The 25,416-nt window shown below is 34.9% G+C and overlaps 1 long non-coding RNA gene across 7 annotated transcripts in view; it reads right to left on the minus strand.

The window, feature by feature from the left end:
- LOC105369468 (uncharacterized) overlaps window positions 1–25,416 on the minus strand; it is a 383,452-nt gene that overhangs the window by 277,193 nt on the left and 80,843 nt on the right. For all 7 annotated transcript variants that reach the window (XR_007062871.1, XR_007062870.1, XR_947973.2 and 4 more), the window contains one exon: window positions 23,131–23,345. This is a non-coding gene — a long non-coding RNA (uncharacterized LOC105369468). The remainder of the gene's footprint in view (window positions 1–23,130; window positions 23,346–25,416) is intronic.

Here is a 25,416-nt window from a genome sequence, read left to right on the forward strand (position 1 = left end):
AACTATTTACATAGCATGTACATTGTATTAGCTATTTCAGTAATCTAAAAATGATGTAAAGCCCAGTATGTGAGAGGATGTGCATAGATTATATGCACATACTACACCATTTTATACAAAGGTCTTGGACATCTGCAAATTTTATCAGGGTCCAAGAACCAGTCCCCTAGGGAAAACTATACTGGCCTCAATATTTTGTCTTTCTTTTATTTTGTGGAAGAGTTTGTGTAATAACAGCATAAATTCTTCAAAAATTGGTAGAAATATTTAGTGAAATAATCTGAGCCTAAAGATTTTTAGTTGTTTGTTTTATTTTTGTTTTTGCTTTTTACGTGAGCGAAGTTTTCTGACTATACATTCAATTTATTTAACGTCTATAGGAATATCTATAATCTATTTTATCTTGGTTCAAATTTTGGGCATTTGTAATTTTAAGGAATCAGTTCATTTATCCTAAGTTGTTGAATTTATAAGCTTCAATTCGTTCATAGTATTCCCTTATTAGCCTCTTTCAATTGCACTGGAATTTATAGTGATAAACCTGTGTAATTGAAGGGATAATAATTTGTGTTATTTATCTTTATTTTTTGCAGTCTTGCCAGAGGTCTATCCATTTTATCGAATTTTTTAAATAACCAGCCTTTAGTTTTATGAATTTTATTGGTGGTTTTTCTGTTTTCAATCTTATTGACTTATGTTTTTATCTTTATTTTTTCCTTCCTTGTGATTTTTCCAGGTTTACTTTGATCTTCTTTACTATTCTATGAAGTAGGAACATACATTGTTAATTTGAGGTCTTTTTTTTTTTCCTAGTGTAAGCTAGTAATTTGTAAGCAATAAATAGATGCCTCTCACACTGTTTAGTTGGAGCCCAAATATTTTGATATGTGGTCATATATTTCATTTAGTTCTATGTTTTTTAAAAAATTATTTGATATGTGAATTATTTGGACGTGTATTGTTTAATTTCTATATGTGTTGAGATTTTCATTTGTCTTTATGCTATTCTCATTTCATTCCATTATGGTGACAGAATATGCTGAGTTAGGTCAACTTAAAAAATTTTTTTTCAAATTTTTTTTATGGCTGAGGATATGGTCTGAGTAAATGTTTCATGAGCACTTGAAAACAGTGTATTCTGCTCTCATTGGTTGAGTGTTGTTTGAGTGTTTAGGTCAGTTAGATCCTGTTGATTGACTGGTTATTCAGATCATTTATATCCTTGATGATTGTCTGTTTGCTTTATACATGTTTAGGATTACTTTGTTTTCTGAGTGGATTGAGTCTTTCATCATTATGCAATATTCCTTGGTTTCTAGTAATTTTCTTTGCGTAGAAGTCTATTTGATCTGATATTAATATACACACTACTGATATTTTTAAAATTAATTTTGTTATGGTATATTTTCCATTCATTTACTTTCAAACTATCTATGCCATTGAATTTGAATCAAGTTTATTAGAAGTATATAATTTTGTTATGTGTATTTTATCTTCCAATCTTCTCTTTTATGTGGCACATTTAAATCATTTTTAATCACAGAAAATATTAATATATGTGTCTATTTCCCCTTTATTTCATTTACTCCACATAGAGGTTATGATGGGCAATTCTTTTTTCGGCAATTCTTTTTTCAGCAATTGGAAAACATTGTGCAACTTCCTTCTGGCCTCCATGATTTCAGATAAGAAATCTGCCGTCATTTGAATTGGTGTTCCCCTAGAGCTAATGCATTATTTCTCCCTGGCAACTTTCAAGACTTTTTTTCTTTGACTTTGGTTTTCAGAAGTTTAATTATGATGTGTCTAGAGGTTAATTTTTGGGGGAAAATTATCCTACTAGGGTTTTAACTTCTTCTTGAATCTATGGTTTTATATATTTTGCCAATTATGGGAAGTTTTCAAACATTGTTCATTAAAATATTCTTTAGTCTCAAGCTTTTTATCATCTTTTTCAACTAAAATGATATGAATATTGCCTCTTTTGTTACTGTGTCACAAGTGTCTAAGAATCTGTTCATTTATATTTTGGTTCAAATTAGGTACATCTATTTGATCGATCCTTAAGTTTGCTTATTCTCCCTCTGTCACTCAATTATTGAGCCCATTCAGCAAGTTTTTATTAATTTCTATTGTATCTTTCAATTTTATAATTTCCATTGTTCTTTATTTTAGTTTCATTTTGTTTGCTGAGATCCTCTATTTTTTATATTATAGTAATTTTTAACTATTTATTGGACTATTTTTATGGCAGTTACTTGAAAATATTTTTCACATTCTTTCAATATCTTTATGTCAGTATCAATTGATTGTCTTTTCTCACTTAAGTTATGATTTTCCTGATTCTTGGTATAATTTCTCTTTTTTTATCCTATATATTAAAGCTATTATGTTAGAAAACACTTAGCCCCATTCATTTTTATTCAGTTTTTTTTTTAATTTCAGAAATGATTTAAGACCTTGCCAGGACTCATAAAACCTACACATCTGAATTAAAATTTATTGGTTTTGCAGCATTCCAACTATAGCAGAGCAGATAGTTCACATTTAAAAAAAAAAAAGTGAGGACTATCTCTCTGTTAGAGGCTCTTTCCCAGTAACTTTGGAGAAGAGTCATATTTTGCTATGAGATACTGTATTTTGCTATAAAAAATTATATAAACTCTAAAAGTATGAACAAGTTAGTTGTTATTTTCAAGATATAAATAAAAATGCTTTTCTCACATTATTTATATACGCACAACAGCAACCCAAATTTCAAAGCAAGAAATGTCAAGACAAAACAATATGAAGAGAGGAAATTTTAATACATTGATACTTTGTTCATCTCACAGTTACAAATACAGTGATATCTTCAAGACAAACGCCATTTATAAATATTGGTAAAATTTTTATAGATGGGCTGTTAAAGCATCCATTTTGAGAGATGCTGATTGCTCACTGAGGAGTAAAATAATATTTTGATTTTATTTCCAAATATAACCTCCATTTTGATAAACATTAATCAAAAACCTAATGTTGCTCACATCGAGCATATTTTCTCATTGTTATTTTTCATGGATGCACTTGAAATGGTGCAGCATCTGAGTAAGATAAGAGTGATCTGCTATGTTTAAAGGTAAGCAATTTGACATTGGAGAAAACAATTTCACACCTGTAAAGAGTTCCTTCTTTGAAAAGGCATGAGTAAACTCCTGAACAAGATTTTTTTTTATATTTATTCATTCATTAAACAGTTACTCAGTGTAAACTCCATGCAGAATACTCCTTTAGGTGAACAAAGCAGGCAAAGTTCACTTCTCTTATATAGTTTACACATTTTCTAGATAGAGACAGATATTGAATAAGCAATAGGAGAATAGCTAGTAAAAAATGTTAAAATAAAAATAATTTGAGGCAATGTCATAGGACAGACTGAGGAGGGGAAAGTCTTTAAGGATGTCAGGAAAGGGCAGAATCTTTTGAAGAAGTGGGATTTTGCCCAGATCTAAAGGTCAAAGCATTGGGTAATTTATTAAACTACTCTTACTCTTATTATCCCCGTATGCAGTCTTACTATCCACATATCCAGGAAGAAAATAAAAGTAACTACCTTGCTTGATTATTGGAAGGTTCAAATGCAACTCAAATAAAGGATCTGAATGTTCACTAAATAAGACAAATTTTTAACTTTATTGTTAAAATTAATTTTTTTTACTTTTGGTCTCAGCTCTTCATCTCTAAAATAAAATCAGTCAAGAAAGTGATTCATTCTGAATTTCATTTTAGTGCAAACAAACTTGAACAACATGTACCACATTTAAAGCATGATGACAACACAAGATTTTTTTGTCTTTATTCTCATAGATTAATGACTAGGGAAAAATACTTCAATGACACATTTATGCAATTATTTAACCTTCCTTCCTTCCTTCCTTTCCTTTGCTTTAGTTCTTTCATTCTTTCTTGTTTCTTTTTCTTTTTCCTTCCTTCTGGTATCACTCTGTCATCTAAGCTGGAGTGCAGTGGTGCAATCAAAGCTCACTACAGCCTTGAACAACTGAGATCAATGAATCCTCCTGCATCAGCCTCCCATGTAGTTGGGATTACAGGCACACAAAACCATGCCAGGCAATTTTTTTTTTTGCATTTTTTTTCAAGATGAGATATATCCATGTTGCCAGACCAGTCTCAAACTCCTGGTCTCAAGCAATCCTTTCAACTCTGCCCTCATAGCTAGGATTACAGGTGCAAGCCACTGTGCCTGGAACCAATTATTTAATATTTAACATATATTCAGTTGCAAGAATTCATTCAGTGCTTACTCTCTCCAAAGCACTTTACTAGGTGTGATCATCCACTCATAAATTTATTTGGGTAATAAAGTTCCTGCTTTTAAGGACATTCTTACTTAACAGAAATTAAAATAATACATAGACTAACTTTTGCCAGTAAATCACATAACATTTTGTTTTGTGGTGGGCAGGTCTATGAAACCTAAGGAGAAAGTCCAAGTAAGTAGAGAGTCAGAAGAAAGAGGTTGACAAATCCAGTTTCTTAGAAAGAAAGTTTAATAAGGATTTATGAACAGAAGCTATGTCTGTGTCTTGGGTGGCAGTGAGACAAGATGGTGGATCCCTGTGGCATCACCCCCCAAGACCCAGGGTTTATACACTATAGGTAAATATGGTGCAGAAGGGATGTGTGGTACAATTGTAGTATGATAACATCAAGTTTGCTTTGACCTAAGGTCTGGAATTATGGTACGTACATGCTCTTACACAAGGAAAAATAGATAAACTGGACATCTGAGAGGCCATCCTGAAACTGGGGTTAATCAGAAACCAATATGGTGGATTAGCATCCAAGATGGAGTTGCATTAACCTCCACATCTTTCTCTAAGCTTCCACCTATATAAAATAGCTAAAATATTAAGCCTAGCTATCTAAGGCTGTTATGAAGAACAACAAATAGCGAAGATTAAAATGTCTTATGAAAAGGAATTCGACTGCAAAGGTAGTGTGTGGCTTAATGAAAGTAAGATGAAGGACCCTTGCCTTAGTCCATTTTCTATCATAATGAGCTAGAAACAGTTGTACCTATAATGTCTTGACACTTCAATTACACCATTAGCCCCATATTAAATTTACTTAATGATAATTATAGAAATAATACATAAATTCATTTTCATCTTCAAATTTAAAATATAAGTACACCTAAAGTCTCCCTTGAATCCTACTTTGCTAATCAGATTCTCCTTTCCCTGTACCCAAACTCCCAAAATGTAACTCCCACTATTAGGTTAATTGTGTATACCTCCAGATTTTTTCTGTTTACAAACATACATATGTGCCCAGAGAAAATGATTAACACTGTTTTTTTAATTTTATAAACATTTTCTACACTTGCTTGGAATTAAGAAGACTTTGAATAGTGAGTGACTCCAAAAGGAAATGTCTCATCAATTTAGAGTTGCAATACAAAACAAGGAAGAATCTTATTTGTAAATACTCACTCTGTGTGGAAAACAGCAGGCTGGGTGTCATTTTTAGAATCTCTATTAGCTTCTATTACAGCTAAACATTGAGTCTGAGTCTACCTGAAATAATCTAATGTTAAAACAACATATTTAAATAAAGAATAAAAGTGTGTAGTTTCATTATTATAAATGGGAAATAAAATTAGTTGGACATTTTATAATGCATTTCTCAGTTGATAATAATGCAAATAGCTTTTTTTGTTTATATATTAATTAATGAGGGACCCTTTGAAAGTACTTTGAACATTACCTCTAAGCAGAGGATTTTATCTTTTTCTATTTTTGAGGATTTTATGTTGAGACTCTCCCCATTCATTTAAAAATACTTTCTTAATTTTCCCTGTCAATTGATATGAATAAACTATAACACATACACCCTACTTTTGTAATATTCATAAGCTCTCAGAAGAGATTTTGTTCTTCAAAAGCTTTATTTCAAGCAAAGGTTATCTATAGGTCATAATGGCATCATTGAAAAGTCAAATACTTTTTGTCACTGCATTTCATCAGTTACATATTTGAAGCAATACATTAACCAAAACTGCATTCCTGGACGTATGCTTTTTAAAATAACCTGATCAGCACCAAAAATTATATTATATATTAATATTACATAAATATTAAGCCATATTTTATTTAATTTCAAAGAAAATCCAAAAACATAGTACATCATTAATGTGGAAAAAGAAGATAGAGAAAATGTGCATTCATGTATATTTTCCTCTAAAGAGTCTAACTGCAAACCCTTTGAAAAATCAGGTCTGTAAGAACTGACACATCAGAATTAATGAGTGTCAAAAGAAAAGTTTCATAGTGATAATAATAATAATGAACATGAATTTAGTATGTTTTATCTCCCTTAATCCTCACTACAAACTCATAAAGTTGATTATCTCCATTTCTCTATTGAAACAACAAAGGGCACTTAGATCTTAAATAATTTGCTGGTAGACCACATAGCCTATAAGAGATGAAGCTACAATTCAAGTCTATATGTGTCTAACTGAAAAGCCAAATACTTGGAACTACTATGATATTGTTTCCAAACTGTCTAGCTGTATTATTTAATCTCTTTGAAACTCTACCTAATCTGTGAAAAGACTACAGTGATCTCTGTTTTCCCCCAGTATTGTCAAGAAATTGGAGGTAGAAAATGTGTGATAACATACATTGAATGTTATGAAGGCATAGTGATTACTTTAGAAACTTAAAAATGAGGAAAACCATAGTTAAATTCAAAAGAAGGTTGAGATTCCCTTGTCTGAAATGCTCGGGACCAGAACTGTTTCAAATTTCTAATTTTTTAATTTTATAATGTTTTTGTTTACATTATGATATATCTGTGGATGGGATCCAAGTGTAAATATAAAATTCACTTGTGTTTCATATCCATCTCATACACATAGCCTGAAGGTAATTTTATAAAATATTTTTAAATAGTTTTGTGTATGAAACAAAGTTTTTGTATATTGAAACATCAGAAAGCAATGATGTTAGGTTGGCACTCAAAATGTTTTAGATTTAGGTGCAATTTGCATTTTTAATTTTCAGATTAGGAATGCACAGCCTGTAGTATTTTTTGCTGCCTTATGGAAAGCTACATAATTTGCAGTATAAACATAGTAGAAAATATTGCAAGGAGAAACAATCTCATATTTGTCAGACTTCTTTATTTCCCAAATCCTGCCTATAACACAAAGCAGAAGGTAGTTTATTAGAAAGCCTATGAGAGTCTACAAAAGATAAACAAGGTAAAATATTGTTTAACAACTATTTCCAAATGTATTAAGGAGAATCACAAAGCCAAAGAAATCACTACTTCCTAGACTCAAGCATAATAATAAAAAATCTGATACATACCTGAGAGAGGGCATTGGGAGAGATATGACAGGATTTATCTAGATTACCTGAGTCTAGGAACACTAGCATTATTTGTACACAATGACAGTGGTTCCTCTGGAATTCATAAAAATATAAACCATTAATACTATTTCTATATATCTTTCCTAACTTGATAAAATAATGTGACCCTGATACCATAAAAAATGCTGAGACTTTTTGTATTTAACCAATATTAAGTTAGCTGTGGTAGTTAAAAAAAATTAATTAAACTTTTTTTGAAAGTTAAAAATTCAAATAATATCAATGAATTTCATCAGCAAGATGGTGGAATAGGACTCTTCAGCCCATGTCCTCCCTCAGAAACATCAATTTGAACAACTATTCGTGCACAAAAATACCTTCACAAGCACAAAGGAAACAAGGTGATAGATTACAGCACCTGAGTGAAGCACAGATATAATAAATAAGATTGAAGAGGGTAAGAATAAGAGCATATATTGCCTGTTACCTCTATTACCCCTCATCCAATCACAGGCAACAGAGCATGAACAGAAATAGCCTCTGAGTGAGCAAAGGAGAAAGAAGAGATTAACGGGCATTGCCATGGATTCCAACACTGGCCTTCCCTATTAAAACTCAGTGTGAGGCAGGTCTCCATAGCCCCAGACTCCTGACCAGTACCAATGAGCTATGAATCCAGGCCTGCCCCAGCTCCAGGACTGTGTTGCAGATTCAGTCTTTAGGTGGTCCCACTACAGTTCTGACCTCAGTGGCCCCAGGCTCCAGACTACCCTCAGCACTCAGCTGGCCCCAGAAACCCTGAAATCTGTACTGTCTTTATTGCCAGGTGGCCACTGACTGTAAATCACCCCAGAACCAGAAGTGGCCCCAGCCTTTAAGCCTGTCCTAGCAAGAAACCAACTCTTGCAGCCCTAGTCATCAGACCAGCACCTGTACACCCATCCTCCAGTCCAGCCCCTGTGGATATATACTCAAAACCCACTCAATACAAGGCCAGCCCTATGCCTCAGTCTTAAGGCCCAGCTCAGACACAAATGGTTACTCTGTTTTCAAAAACCAGACAGGCACACGAAGACACAGGCTCCAGGCTTGCCAACTGCTAGGTTGATACATGCAATCTCACACTCTAGGCTGGCCCCTGGAAATCTGTGCTCCAGCAGACTCAGGGTTCAGGCCTGTAACTGTAGACATCAGCACTTGACAAGTAGACCTAGGGTTCAGGACTGCTCCTGTGTATGCTGGTCCCATGATTGTTTCCAAGGCCTTGGGATTCAGGTCAGCCTTCCCAGACCTAACCTCTAGGCCTAGACATGCACACCCAGCATCCAATAGGGTTCTAGCTGACATAGGCTCCAGGCTGGTCCCCAAGTCTCTAGGCTCCAGGCCAGTCCCAATGACTCCAGGCATCAGGTCTACACCTGCAATCATAGGCTCCAGACCAAGACCCACATACCCAGTCTTTGAACCAGTTCCAGCACCAACTTGACCCCAGGCATGAGGCCAGTGCCCATGGGTCCAGGCTCCAGAGGACCCCAGGGCCCAAGCCTGTTCTATCATACCTAAAGTCCAGACCCACCAAATAGACACCAGTGCCATGTTGGAACCCATAAACTGAGGCTCCTAGACCACCCTGGCAAACCAGGGTCCAGGCTACGTCCTGTGGACTCAGGATTTAGGCTTATCCAAGTGGCCCTAAGAACAAAGTCCATTGCCAGGGCACGTTCAGGACCTGTGAAACCAGGCTTCAGGCTGGTACCCATGGACACAGGGTCCAAGCCTGCCTTGTGGACCCAATATTTAGGCCAATTCCCACAAACCCAATTAAAAAGTCCACTCCAGTGAATCCAGACTTCAGGACCTAGACACCAGGCCTTTATATCTGATTATCTGTGTGCCAAATCCAGTTTGGCTAAGGACTCCATCAGCAAGCCAGCCCTGAATCACACCAATAACTTGCTAAGAATTTCTAGACAAGTAGAAGACTGGTAAAGGTCTTTTTCACCAAAGAACAGTCTGCAAAGAGTAGAATAAGTCCCTGTATCTTCAAATGTGCCAAGATCAGTATAAGGCAACATGATACATGACAAACCAAGGATACTAATACCACCAAAAGAATAGAATAATCTCCCAGTAGAAATGGAGATACACAAACTGCTAGATAAAAAATTCAAAATAATTGCTTCAAGAAAGCCCAACAAACATTAAGAAAATACAGAGAAATAATTCAATGAAATCAGAAAAATAATAAATGACCAACATAAAACATTTAATAAGAAATTAAAATTATTTTTTTAAAAAACCAAATAGAAATTCTGGAGCTGAAAAATACAATGAACAAAATAGAAAAGGAAATAGAGAGCATCAACAGTAGAAATGATCAAAGTGAAGAAAGGATCTGAACTTGAAAACAGGTTATTTAAAAATATATACTCAGAAGGAAAAAAAGAATTAAAAAAAGACATCTCACAGGATTTAAAGGTCAGCATCAAAAGAACAAATTTTCAAGAAATAATAATTCATGAAGGATAAGCAAAAGATGAAAGAGTAGAAAGTTTACTTAAATAAATAATGGCAGAAAATTTTTTAAATTTGGAGAAAGATATTAATGTCTAGATACAGGAAGGGCAAAATTATCCAATCAGATTCAATCAAAACAAGACTACACCAAGAAATAATTTAAACAAACTGTAAAAATCAATCATAAGGAGATAATCCTGAAGCCATAAAGAGCAAGGAAGCAAAGTAACATCTGAGGGAGTCACCATAAAGCCAACAGCAGATTGCTCAGCAAAGACCTCACAGGCCAAGAGAGAGTGGGAGATACATTCAAAGTGCTGAAGAAAAACAACTTTGAACCAAGAATACTGCACCCGGCGAAGAAATAAAAGAGAAAAAAAAAAAACTTCCAGATAAACAAAAGCTGAGAGTTAATCACTACCAGACCTGTCTTACAAGAAATGCTAAAGGGAGTTTTTTAAACTGAAGAAAAGGATGCTAAATAGTAACACAAAAAACATATGACAGTATAAAACTCAGTGGTAAAAGTATGCTGTCGAATTCAAAATACTCTATTACACTTATATCTTTACTATGAAAATTAAAATACAAAACCATAAAAGTAATTATAGCTATAATAACTTGTTAAGGACTGTGCAATATAAAAAGAAAGATCCTGTGACATCAAAAATGCTAAATGTGGGTAAGGTGGAGTAAAAGTCAGTTTTTTATGTATTCAATGTTAAAATGTTATCAGCTTTAAATACCCTGTTATAACTATAAGGTGTTTGTGATAAGACTCATAGTAACCACAGTGCAAAAATGTATAGTAGATACACAAAAGATAAGAAGTAAGGAACCAATACACACCACTAGAAAAAAAACCCATGTATTTACAAATGAAGACAGCAATAGAGAAAGAAAAAAAATGAATCTATGAAATAATCACAAAGCAATTAACAAAATATCAGTATCAGTAGCAAGTTCTTACAAGTCAACAATTACCTTAAATGTAAGTGGATTAAGTTCTCTAATCAAAGCAAATAAAGTGGCTGAATGGATTAAAACATAAAGAAGACCCAACAATATGATGCCTGTAAAAGAGTCACTTGATTTGAAAGGATATACATATCTTGAAAGTGAAGGGATAGTAGAAGATATTCTATGCAAATTGAAACCAAAAGAGAGCAGAAGCTACAACTATAGATACTCTAGATAAAATTGACTGACATTTTTAGATCAAAAACTATAAAATAATACAGAAAATATCTTTATATAATGATAAAGTATTCAACTCACCAAGAGGATATAACAATTATAAATATATGTGCACCCAACATCAGAGCACCTAAATATATAAAGCAACCTGAAAAGAGAGAGAGACAACTACACTTTAGACCAAATTTATCTAAGAGCTATGTACAGAACATCCCATCCAACAGCAGCAAAATACACATTATTTCCTCTGTACACAGAACATTCATCAAGATAGATCATATTTTAGGTCACAAAACAAGCCTTAACAAATTCAAGACGAATGAAATTATGACAAGTATGTTTTCTGGCCACAGTGGTATGAAGCTATAAATCTATAATAGAATAAATTTTGGAAAATTTACAAATTCGTGGAAATGAAACAATATGCCCCTGAACAAAAAACTGATCAAAGAAGAAACTAAAAGGGAAATTAAAAAGCATCTTGAGACAAATAAAAATGGAAACACAACATACACAAAGAACTTATGGGATGTAATAAAAGCAGTTTTAAGAGGAAAGATTATAGCAATAAATGTCTACAACAAAAAAGAAGAAAGTTCCCAAATATACAACTTAACATTACACCTCAGAGAACTAGTAAATGAAGAAAAATCTAAGCTTAAAGTCAGGAGAAGAAAGACAAAATAAAGATCATAGCAAAAATAGGTGAAATGAAGACTAGAAAATCAATACGAAAGATTAATATAACCCAGTTGTTTTTTTGAAAATATAAAACTGACAAACCTTTAGCTACACTAACTTAAAAATACAGACAAAAAACTCAAATAAATATAATCAGAAATAAAGAGAATACATGACAGCTAGTACCCCAATAATGTAAATTATCAAAAAATACTATTATGAACAGTTATATACCAACAAATTTGATAACCTAGAGGAAATGGTACATTTCTAGACACATACTATCTGTCATGTTTGAACCAAAAAGCAACAGAAAAGCTAAACACGTCAATAACAAGTAAGGAGAGTGAATCAATAAAAATTTTCCCTCAGAGGAGAACCCAGGACCTGATGGCTTACTGCAAAATTTTACCAAACTTTATAGAATAACTAATATTAATACTTCTCAGGCCCTTTTGAAATACTGATGAACTCATTTTATAAGATTGGCTTTACTGTGACATCTAGGACAGAGAAGGATACCACAAAAATAAAACTCAAATGGAATCCAACAGTCCATTAAATAGATTATTCAACATGATTGAGTGGGATTTGTCCCAGGCATGCAAGCATAGTTTAACAAATGCAAATTTATAAATGTGATAAACCACATTAACAGAATGAAGCACAAAAATTGCACAGTAATATCAATAGGTGCCAAAAAAGCATTGAACAAAGTTCAACATTCTTTCATGACAAAAACTCTCAACAAATTAGGTATAGAAGAATTTTATCTCAACACAATGAAGGTCTTATATGACAAACCCACAGCTATTATTGCATTCAATAATGAAAAGTAGAAAGCTTTTTCTATAGGCTCTGGAACACAACAAGGATTCTCAATCTTGCAACTTCAAGCATAGTACTTAAAGTCCTAGTCAGAAAAATTAGGCATTAGAAAGAAATAAAAGACATCAAGATTGGAAAGGAAGAAATAAATTGTTTCTGTTTGCAGATATCATGGTCTCATATATAAAAATCACTAAAAATGCTACCAAGAAACTGTCAGGATAACTAATAAGCAAATTCAGTGATTCTTCAAAATAGAAGATGAACATATAGACTTGGGGTGGAGCAAGATGGTGGAATAGAAGGCTTTACCAATTGTTCCCACCACAAAGACACCAATTTAACCATGATCTACACACAAAAAAGCACCTTTACAAAAAACAAAAGTCAGATGAGCAATCACAGTACCTGGTTTTAACTTCCTATCACTGAAAGAAGCACTGAAGAGATAGGAAAAACAGTCTTGACTCACTGATCCTACCCCTCCCCCACACCCTGGCAGCAGTGGCATGATGCGGAGAGCATTTCTGTGATACTGGGAGAGGGAGATTGCAGCAATTTTGAGCCATTAAACTCAGTGATGCTCTATTATAACAGAAAACAAACCAAAACAAACTCAGCAGACACCCACCCACAGAGGGAGCATTTAAACCAGCTTTAGACAGATGAAAATCACTGATCCCAGGAGTCTGAATTTCAGTTCCTGCAAGCCTCCCCAGTGCCAGCTAAGGAGCTCTGCAGCTATAATTAAACTTGAAAGGAAGTCTAGGCCACAAAGATGGCAACTTCTAGGTGAGTTCTAGTGTTGACATGGGCCCAGATACAGTGCACCAGTGGGGATGTGCAACCTACTGAGACAACAGGGTTGGTTAAGTGAGTGCTGGCATCACCCCTCTCCTAATCCCAGGCTGCACAGCTCACAGCTCCAAAAGAGACACTTTCTGTCTACTAGAGAAGATAGGGAAGAGTGAGAAGCATTTTGTCTTAAATCTTCAATGGCAGCTCAGCCACAGAACGATAGGGCACTGGTCAGAATCATGAGACCTCCTATGCAGGCCCTAGCTCCTGGATGACATTTCTAGACATACCACACTACAGAAAGGAACCCGCTGCCTTGAGGAGAAGGTGCCATTCCTGGAATGATTCATTACATGCTATCTGAAGAGCCCCTGGGCCCTGAATAACCAGCAGTGATACCCAGGTAATGTGTCAACGGCCTTGGGTGAGACTCTGAGGCTTGCTATCTTCAAGTTAGACTCAGCACACTCCTAGCTGTGGTGGCTACAGGAAGAGACTCCCTCCACTTGAGAAAAAGTGAAAAAAATAAAGGGAACTTTGTGTTGCCACCTTAGGTACCAGCCCTGCGCCAGTGGGACAGAGCAACAAGCAGACTCTTGGGGTCCCCAATTCCAGGATCTGACTCTTTGATGACATTTCTGGACCTGCCCTGCACCAAACTGGAGCCCACTGCCCTAAAGGGTAAGTCTCAGTCCAGGCAGCATTCACCACAAGGTGACAGAGCCCTTGGGCATTAAGGGAACATCAGCAGTAGTCTGGCAGTACTCCCCGTGGGCCTGTGGTGGCAGTGGTCATGGGGTGAGCCTCCTCTGCCTTTGGAAAGGAGAAGAAGGAATAGGAAAGACTGCATGCTGTGGTTTGAATGCAAGCTCTGCTGTAGCACAAGAGTCCAAGGGAGGTGCCTGTGGTGATTTTTTCTAGTCCTTGGTTCCTGGAAGGCACCTCTGGACATGGCTGGGCCCTGGGGTACTTGCTACCCTGAACAGGACAATGGCTTGGCTGGCTTCACCACCTGCTGATTGTACAGCCCAGGGCCCTGAGTGATCATGAGCCATAGCCAGTGGCTAGGGCAGGCCTTGGGCAAGACCCCTTTCACTTGGTTGTCATTTCTGTCTTTCCTGCCGCTATGCACAATTTCCCTTTCACATTTTGGCATAATTGTGAGGCCTCCTCAGCCACATGGAACTGTGAGTTCATTAAACCTCTTTCTCTTTGTAAGTTACCCAGTCTCAGGTATATCTTTATCAGCAGTGTGAAAACAGATTAATACAATACTACTTCTAAGAATTCAATTTTGATATAATTGTACTATTTTTCCATTATAATGTAAGATTTATTACATTAGGCACTGTATCTATTTTTATTTCATTGTATTTCCAACTCTTAGCACAATATCTGGCAAAAAGTGGACACTAAATAAATATTTGTAGAATGAACTAATTAATGAGAAAATAACTGGGGCACCTAAAATCTGCAAGATATTTTATGTACATATTTATTTAACTTTCAAAATGATGTTACATGGCAGGTGTTGTTTAATTTCCAAATATTTGTAGATTTTCCAAATTTCCTTCTGGTATTCATTTTCAATTTCATTCTGCTGTTTAATTTACATTTAATTAATTCTATTTTAGTCAAAGAATATGCATGGATAATTTAAGTTCTTTAAAACTTCTTGACGCATTTTATGGACTCTTGACAATATTTCATGTGCACTTGAGAACAGTATATTCTGTTATTATTGAGTAAATTGTTTAATAGATGTAAACTTGGTCTAGCTGTGGGACAGTGAGTGCTCTTCAAATCTTCCATATTCAGGCTCATCTTCTGACTGGTTGTTCTCTTAATTATTGAGAATGGTGTATTGATGTCTGTAACTACTATTGAGGAATTGTCTATTTCTCCCTTTAATTCTGTCAATCTTTCCTTCATGTTCTTTCAGGCTCTCGTTAGGTGAATGTTTTTATAAATATTGAACTTTCCTGATGAACTGACACATTTATTATTATAAAATGTCTCTCTTTGTTTCTAATAACACCTCTTTATCTTAAAGTCTATTTTTTCTGATATTAGTAAAGCCACTGCAGCTCTGTTGTGGTTACCATTTACACGACATATTCTTTTCATTCTTTTAATTTTAATATATTTGTTTCTTAGTTGTTTTTGCTTTGTATTATTGTATTTGTTCTTTAACTTATTTGTTTGATTCTAACGTGTCTCATAGAAAACATATATTGGATTCAGTTTCTTTTTAATCAAGTTTGTCAATCTCTGCATTTTCATTGCAATAGTTAATCATTTTATATCTAATATAATTAGTGAGATGGCTAGATTTCTATTTCCAGTCTTCTATTGGTTTTCTATATGTCTTATATCTTTTTTGTTCCTTTGTTCTTTATGATCTCCTTTTCTGTAACATAGATATTTTTTAGTGTATATTTTACTTGCTTTGTTATTTTACTCTACTTTTTGAGTTATTTTTTTAGTTATTTTTCTTAGCATTTCTTAGGGTTGTTCTGGAAATTACAAAATACATCTTAAAGCAATCTACTTATGATTAATACTAGCATAATTTTGATTGTATATAGACACTTGGCTCCGATACACTCACTTCTCTGCCTCTCTTTTCTGTTACTATTGTGATTCAAATACATTTTTATATGTTATAAACCCAACAATGTAATGCTATAAATATTACATGTGAATCTGTCTTTTAAATCATTAAGAGTAGACTATATATATTTATATAATATTTTTCATATTTATCGAGTTACCTTTATCTATACTTTATTTCTTCATGTGCTTTTGAACTACTTCTTACTCTTGAGAGGAACTCCCGTTAGTATATCTTGTAAGCCAATTCTGTCAGAAACTAACTTGCTCAGTCTTTATCTAGGAATATCTTTTATTTTAGTTGGCTGGCAGTGATTTTCCATAATTTTGATATGGTATTCCATCACCTTATGTCACTCCATTTTTCCTGCTGAGAATTCAGCTGTAAATCTTACTGAGGTTCTCTTGTACACGATGGGTCATATTTCTCTTGCTTTATTCAAAATTTTACCTTTGTGTTTAGCTTTTGATAAATGTGATTTGTCTAGCTGTGGACTTCTCTGAGTTTAACCTACTTGGATTAGGTTGAGCCTCATAGACATGTATGTTAAAAAATTTTGTCAAATTTGTGAATCTTTTGGTCATTAATTCATCAAATATTTTTTTCTGTCCCTTTCTTTCTCTTCTCTTTTTCTGAGATTTTTCTTATGCATATACTGATATATTTAATGGTGTTCCACAGGCCTCTCAGGATCTGTTCATTTTTATTTATTCATCATTTATTATGTTCTTCAGTTGGCATAATCTTGAATGACCTGTCTTCATATTCACTGAATCTTCTTCCCACTCAAATCTGCAGTTGAGCACTTCTAGAACTTTCTAAAATATTTTCAGTAACCTGAAATATTTTCAGTAACTAAAATGTTTTCTTTTCAACCTGATGTTTACTTTATGATTGATAACTTTTTATTAATATTCTCTATTTGTTGAGTCATTGGTTTTATAAGTACATTTAATTCTTTAAACATATTTCCTTTTGCTTTTGAATATAATAGCTTACTTACAGTCAGGGACAGCTTCTGCTTCTATTGATTACTTTTTATCTCTTTAAATGGGCAACAGTTTGATTTTTCTCTGTCTCATAACTTTAGGTGAAGATTTGTTGTTGTTGTTGTTGTTGTTGTTTGTTTGTTTGTTTTTGAGATAGAGTCTCTCTCTCTTGCCCAGGCCAGAGTACAGTAAGATCTTGGCTCACTACAACCTCTGCTTCCCAGGTTCAAGGGATTTTCCTGCCCCAGCCTCCTGAGTAGCTGGGATTACAGGTGCCACCACCACGCCTGGCTAATTTTTTGTATTTTTGGTAGAGGCGGGGTTTCACCATATTGGCCAGGCTGGTCTTGAACTCTTGATCTCAGGTGATCTACCCACCTCGGCCTCCCAAAGTTCTGGGATTACGGGCGTTAGCCACCGTGCCCTGCCAACTGGCTATCTTAACTCAATTATTGTAGTAATTCTGGATTCTAGATATCCTCCCCAACTCAGACTTATTGTTTCTTTTGTTTGCTTGTTTGCTTTTTAGTAGCTGGCCTGGATTAGTTCTTTAGAAACTGTCCTTTCTACAGTGTGTAAACACTGAAGTTGCTGCTTACATTTTTTTTAAATTTATTATCAATATTTTAAAGCTCAATTTCTTAAGCAGAGCTTAATGACCACCCAGAGAATGGGCAAAACTTTTCTTTAAACATCATGAGCCAGTAAGGCTTCCACCATTGGCTGAGGAAATCTGTGTGGGTTGTGACACACATTCAAAATTTAGGCAATTCACACGTCTACTCAGATTTTCATTTTTTTTTTTTTAATAAAGTGTCTCATGGTCCAGCAGGTATAAGTAACTAACTGGGAGCCTCTCCATTCTTCCCTAAATACACCTGCAGACTTGATCGTGTGTGCTGCCGTGCATGTGAACTTAGCCTTCCAGATTACCAGAAACTTTTCAAGTTCCTCTGTGACTATCTCATTCCCTAAATCCCTCTATTAAGTTTTTGCCTGGTCTCTTGCTTGCCCCAGCATCAGAGACTGAATCAACTGAGACATCAACTTTCTCCAATTATTTGCCACCAACTGCTACTCACTGGGTGAGGATACTCTCCATGGGACTTCTGAGCAGATGAGCCCTGATGGAGTTGTCGAGGTGCACGTTAAAGGAACATGCATCCCATTGTTCTTACCAAGATTCAGTAGTTACTTTCCCATAAATGTTTTTCAATTTGTTTTATGCCTTTGGTTAATTTTCAGAGATCTGAAATGATTGGTATGGGGAATTGGGGGCTTTATATTATTGCTCTTGGAGAAGAATTTACTAAGGTACCCCTTTACCATTCCAGAAGTTACACCTTACTTGCACTGAATTTTAAACCATGAGTGACAAGTTTCCAGGTAGATATTAAGAGACAAACAATCCTGGATAGTGGGAAAAAGTGAATAGATACATGAAATTACACAGTGGGTTCAAGTAACTACAAATTATTTATTGAAAGCAGAGAATACTGGAAGATAAGGCTGAGCAAGTATATAAAGGTCTTGCATATAATGTTAAGGAAGTAAGATATCATTCTGTGGGTATTAAAGTGTGAATGAAGAATTTCAAGCAAGTGAATAAAGGTTAGATATATTTTGAAAAGTCATGCTGATATGGAATTCAGGTTTATTGAAAGATAAGACCAAAGAAAGAGGGAACAGTACAGAGACTTTTAATATTCTCAGTGAGAAATAATGAAATTTAAACTAGGGCTAGGGAATGTGGAGGTCAATAAATATTAGAAATGTTTAAATATTTAGAGGATGGTATTGTTAAACCTATTCTCTAGAAGTGAAAGCTGAGCTTATGTAATAAAATAAATACAGGGTGCTAAGATGCATCTCAGGTTCTGGCAAGATAAACTGACTGCATGGTACTAACATTCTCTCTCTTATACAAATCTCAATAAACATTTTAGGAAAAATCAAATGAATATGGTAACTTTAAAATGGGTGCACAGTTTTCAATAAATATAAATATTTTCATTCAGTACACATTCATTTTTCCCATGAATATCCAATCTCTTCTGAATTTTTTTATATTTAATAAATTTGTTATTAAAATTTCAAAAGGTGAAATATACTAATTTTAAACCTGAATATAATAAATCCGTCCAGTCAGGAATTAATTTGTTCATTCAGTCAGCCAACAAGTATTTGAATATACAGAAAATGTGGATACATGATGAATATCTGTATCTGTATTCTGTCCTTGAATAGGTTATTTTAATATAAAACAGGTTAAGATAGATGTCAGAACAGTTATTAAAACATTTCAAAATAATTATTTTGTATGAAAATAGGAGGGAAAAAGGATTAAGGAGATAAATGCCTAAGAACTCAGGCAAAAATATAATTATTTTTATATGTGAAAAATATGCTGAAGCATCCTGTGTATAATTTCAATAAACGATAAGTCTTAATAATATGATTTAGAAGATTTGGATATCTTAAAATCCAACTTTAAGTAATATATTCTCAGAAAAGCTAATAATGTAAACAACCATGCCTGAAATTTGAGTAACGCAAATTCCCACAAAATTGCAGGAAGCACACTTCCTACCAGCATAAATATAAGTAAATTATGAAAATCAGAGAACATCTTGTGGAAAATGAAAAAACAAATTATGCAAAATTCGAATGTATTTATTTTATGAGAAACCGCATGCACTGATAAAGAAAAAAGTTTTTATGATATATTGCTTGGTTGTTTTTTGTCTGTATGAAAATTCATTGCTAGTGGACTATGCCTCATTTCTGGATTTTAAGCTTCTAGCAATTTTGATAACAATAAAAAGGGAGTTTTATTTTTACACACATAAAATAGCTTATTAATACAAAATTTAAAATTACAGTGTTATCAGTTAAACTCCAGATAGGCCAATACTACCTTTCAACCAAAGAATAAAAACACAAGTTTTTTCTTTCCTAATTAATAATGCTAATTTCAAGAGTCATTTATATCCTGCATCTAAGTCACTAAAGATGTAGCCGATATCAGCAGTTAATGGTTAGTTTGCTCTTTAGGACGGTGATGAAACTCAAAGCAAATGAATAGTTTCAAAAGCTGTATGCTAATTATGTTAACAAATTATTTGGAAGGATTGATACTGGTAAAAGCTGTGAATACATTTATAATGATCAAAATTAGTATCTAAGTTACAATTGAACTTCCATGTAGTGGGGAGAGCTATTGAATGGTTTTCATTAAATTTATTGTAGACACACTACACTGTTTTGAATCTCCCTATTTCCAAAATATTGGCAATTGTTCCACAATATCATAGCTATTTTAATAGACATTATTTCTTAAAGTCCATGGAAACAATAGGCCTGTATTGACGAAGCATTATGCCTGCAAAAACAAATTCATCTAGCCTCTACCATTGTCAGACACTTCAAGAAAGGATTTATTTATTGTAAAACTTAATCCAGAATGTTGTAATCATGGAATAAATATAGTCTATTTACTTTTGAAATTTTAACAAAGGATATTTTAGTTCAAAGAACCAAAATATTAACAAGATATGAAAATAGCGCTTAGCTTATAAAAATGGATTCATAAATAAAGCACAATGACATATAGACCAAAGTAAAATCCTTAGCCCATAAAAAGCAAACTGGCCAAACTTCACATTTCACTGGGTTTTGAAGAACATTTTGCCATTGCAGCTTTGTAAATAGTGTTATAAAGGAGGAAGGGAAATGCTTCAAATATCAATCCCACTTCCTGAGTCTCGGTCTGCAAATAAATCACAGGTAAGGCCCAAGTATGAACTTTCCATTTCTAATCTAAGTTTCACTGCTGACTGCTGACTTGCCATGTTTCTGAAATTGTCCCTTTACTAGTGCAGTTTGGTTCCATACATATTTTAAATAATAAAATGCACTAACTTTTCCCTTTTTGTTCTGATCTACTGTTTACTGAAAGCCCCAGCCCCATCACACAGCTATTCAGGTTTTACTGAAAATTGCAAATCTCAAAGTCCAAAAGTTATCATACTCTCCAATAACATATATTATGTTGGTCCCTTATTTCTTTCCCAATTTTTTTAAAGGAATATTGTCTATATACCCCAGGGTAACATCTGGTGTTTGAATGTTGAATCACTACAGCTTATGCTATGCATCACTCAAGGTAGTTTGGATCTCAGCTACCACTTACTACCTGTGTGAGCTTGGGTAAGCTATGTCTCATCTCAAAGGCTGAAAAGTGGAATTTTGTGAGAAGTAACCATATTATGTAAATTAACATTTTTGTTGTAATGCTTCTAAAAGTCATTTAAAATTATATCAAATTCACCTGGATGTATCGTCAAATATATAAATTTTGTGTGTGTTCAAAATTATACTTTAGTTCAAAGAATACAATAAAGATTTTTAAGCAATAATGAAAAATAGCCTGGCACGGTGGCTCGTGCTTGTAAGTCTAGTTACTCAGGCAGCTAAGACAATAGAATTGCTTGAGGCCAGGAGTTCAAAACCAGCTTGAGTACCATAGTGAGACTCCATCTGTATTTTTTAGAGCCTACTGAATATTTATGTAATAATTTATTGTAATCCTAAAACTATTTTATTATGTATGAGGTGAAAGAGATATGATGGAGGAGTTCTTTCCAGAAGTAAATAAACAGGAGGAGGCAAAGCAAGACGGCCGACTACAAGCCTCCAGTGATCATCCACCCTGCAGGAACACCAAATTGAACAACTCTCCACACAAGAAAGAACCTTGATAAGAACCAAACATGAAGTGAGCAATCATATTATCTGGTTTTAACATCATAGCAAAGAAAGAAGCACTGAAGAGAGTGTAGGAAAGATAGTCTTGAATGGATGACACAACCTGTCCCCTATTCCCCTGGAGGTGGCCATGTGGTGCAGAAAGAGAATTTGTGTGTATGCAGGATAGATAGAGCAGTGATTGCGGAACTTTTTATGTTGGAACTCAGTGCTGCCCTGTCAAATGGAAAGCAACGTGAGAGAGAATTCAGCCAGCGCCCCCAGAGGTAGAATTTAGACTAGCCCCAGCCAGAAGGGAGTCACCTAACCCCATGGTCAGAACCTGAGTTCTGGTTAGCACCACCACTGCAGGATAAAGTGTTCTAGGGTCATAAATAAACTTGAAAGGCAGAGACTATGCCACAACAACTGCAATTCCTGAGCAAGTTTTTTTTGTCGTGCTGGGCTTGAACCAGTGGATTTTGAGTGCACATGACCTAGTGAGGTACCAGCTGGAGATGCCTAGAAGTGCTTGTTTCTCCCATGCCCCTTACCCCAGACAGCACAGCTCACAGCTCAGAAGGAGAAGGGAAAAAAGAGAACTTTGTTTTGCAAGTAGGATACCAATTCAGCCATAGTGTAATAGGGCACCAGGCAGAGTCCTGGGGCCCCTGTTCCAGGCCCCAGCTCCCAGTTGACATTTCTAGACACACACTGGGCCAGAATGGAACATGCTGCCTTGAATGGAATAACCCAGTCATGGCAAGATTCATCACCTACTAACTAAGAGAACTTGGGCCGTGAATAAGAATTAATGGTACCCAGGAAGTTTTCACTGTGGGCCTTGGGTGAGACCCAGGGTTGTGCTGGCTTTAAATGTTACCACTCCATTCCCAGCTCTGGTAGACATGAGAAGATACTCCTGCTTTTAAAAGGAGATGAAAGAGTAAAGGTGACTTTGTCTTGCATCTTAGGTACCAGCTCGACCACAGAGGGGTAAAGCACCAAGCAGCCTCCCGGGGTCCCCAGTTCTAGGCATTAGCTTTTGAACAGCATTTCTGGACCTGCCTGGGGCCAGAGAGAAGCCTATTGTCCTGAAGGGAGAGAGCTAGGCCTGGCAACATTCAACCCAGCTGGCTGAAGAGCCCTTGGGCCTTGAGTGAACATCGGCAATAGCCAAGCAGTAATTGTCACAGGTCTGGAGCAGTGGTGGCCACAAGAGACAACTTCCTTTGCATGAGAAAAGGAGAGGGAAGGGTGGAAAGAACGTTGATTTGCAGCTTGGGTAACAACTCGGCCACAGTAGAACAGCGCACCAAATACATTCCAGAGTTTTCTGACTTCAGCCCTGACTCCCAGAGGGCAATCATAGACTCACCTTAGGCTGAGGGGAAGCTCATTGCCCTGAAGCGTAGGACACATGTCTGACTAGATTCACCACTTGCTGACTGGAGAGCCCTTGGGCTTTGAATAAACACCAGCAGAAACCAGGCAGCGGTCACCTTGAGCCTTGGGTAAGACCCGGCGCTGTGCAGCCTTCAGGTCCGTCGCACCCTTCTCAGCTTCAGGCAGCTCTCCATGAAGAGGGACATCCTGTTTATTTGGGGGAAAGTAAAAGAAAGGAACAAAAGTCTCTGCTTAGTAATCTAAGAAATTCTCCCAGATCTTACCCAAGATCACCAAGATAGTATCCTTATGAGCCTACAAGAGTCACAGAAATCCAACTGACACAATGAAGAATGCATCACGGTTTCTCAACAGCAGAATTGATCAAGCAGAGGAAAAAAAATAGTGAACATGAAGACAGGCTATTTGAAAATAAACAGCCAGAGGAAACTAAAAAAAAAAAAGTATATACAAAAAAATGAAGCAGCCTACAAGATCTAGAAAATAGTCTCAAAAGGGCAAATTTACACATTATTGGCCTTAAAGAGGAGGGCATGAGAGAGATCTGGGGAAAGTTTATTCAGAGGGAATACAACAGAAAATGTTCCAACCCTAGAGAAAGATATCAATATTCAAGTACAGGAGGGTTATAGAACACAAAGCAGATTTAACCCAAAGAAGATTTCCTCAAGGCATTTAATAATTAAACTCCCAAGTGTCAAGGATAAAAGAAGCAAGAGAGAAGAAATAAATAACATACAAAGGAGCTCCAATATGTCTTGCACCAGACTTCCCAGTGGAAAATTTACAGGCTAAGAGAGAGTGACATGACATATTTAACATGTTGAGGGAAATAAGTTTTTATCCTAGAATAGTATGTCCAGTGAAAATATCCTTCAAACATGAAGGAGAAATAAAAATTTTACTAGACAAACAAAAGTTGAGGGATTTCAACAACAACAAACTGGTCCTTCATGAAATTCTAAAGGGAGTTCTTCAGTCTGAAAGAAAAGGATGTTAACAAACAATAAGAAACATCTAAAGGTACAAAACTCACTAGTAATCGTAAGTACACAGATAAACATAGACTATTATAACATTGTAACTGTGGTGTGAAAACTACTCATATCTTGAGTAGAAATACTAAAAGATGAACCTTTCAAAAATAATAACTACAACAATTTTTAAAGACATAGGTATATAAGGAGATATAAATAGAAACAACAAAAAGTTTAGAAGTGAAAGATGCAAAGTGTAGAGATTTTATTAGTTCTCTCTTTCCTTATTTGTTAATTTGTTTGATTTTGCAATCAGTGTTATCATCAGTTTAAAATAATTGGTTATAAGATGTTACAGGCAAGCCTCATCGTAACCTCAAATCAAAAAACTTATAGTGGATACACAAAAAAATTTAAAAGAAAAAAATTAAAACATACCACCAGAGAAAAGTACCTTCACAAAGAGGAGGACAAGAAAAAAAGAAGGAAGGAAGAAAAGATTACAAAACTACCAGAAAACTGATAACAAAATGGCAAAATGGCAAAAGTAAGTCTTTACCTATCCATTATAACATTGAATACAAATGGACTACGCACTCCAAACAAAAGATATAGAGTGGCTGAATGAATAAAAACAAGACCTAATGATCTATTACCTATAAGAAACACACTTCACCTATAAAGACACACATAGATTGAGAATAAAGAAATGGAAAAAGATAGTTCATGCCAATGCAAACTAAAAATTAGCAGAAGTAGATATACTTATTTCAGACAAAATAGCTTTCAAGACAAAGACATATAAAAAGAAACAAGGAAGGTAATTAAATAATGATAAAGGGGTCAACTCAGCAAGAGGATATAACAATTGTAAGTATATATGCACCCAACACTAGAGCACACAGATATATAAAACAAATATTACTAGAGCTAAAGAGAGAGATAGACCCTAATATACTAATAGCTTGAGACTTCAACCCCTTATTTCAGCATTAGACATCATCCAAACAGAAAATCAGCCAAGAAACATCAGACTTAATCTGTACTACAAACCAAATGAACCTAACAGATATTTACAGAACATTTCATCCCATAGCTGTAGAATATACATTCTTCTCATCAGAACATGGGTCATTATCAAGGGTAGACTGTATGTTAGCTACAAAAAAGTCTCAAGAAATTTTTAAAAATGAAATTATATCAAGTATCTTTTCTAACTGAAAGGAAATAAAATTAGAAATCTATAAGAGAAACTTTGGAAACTGTACAAACACAGAGAA

Source organism: Homo sapiens, chromosome 11 (assembly GCF_000001405.40).
Source record: "Homo sapiens chromosome 11, GRCh38.p14 Primary Assembly".
NCBI classification, from domain to species: domain Eukaryota; kingdom Metazoa; phylum Chordata; class Mammalia; order Primates; family Hominidae; genus Homo; species Homo sapiens.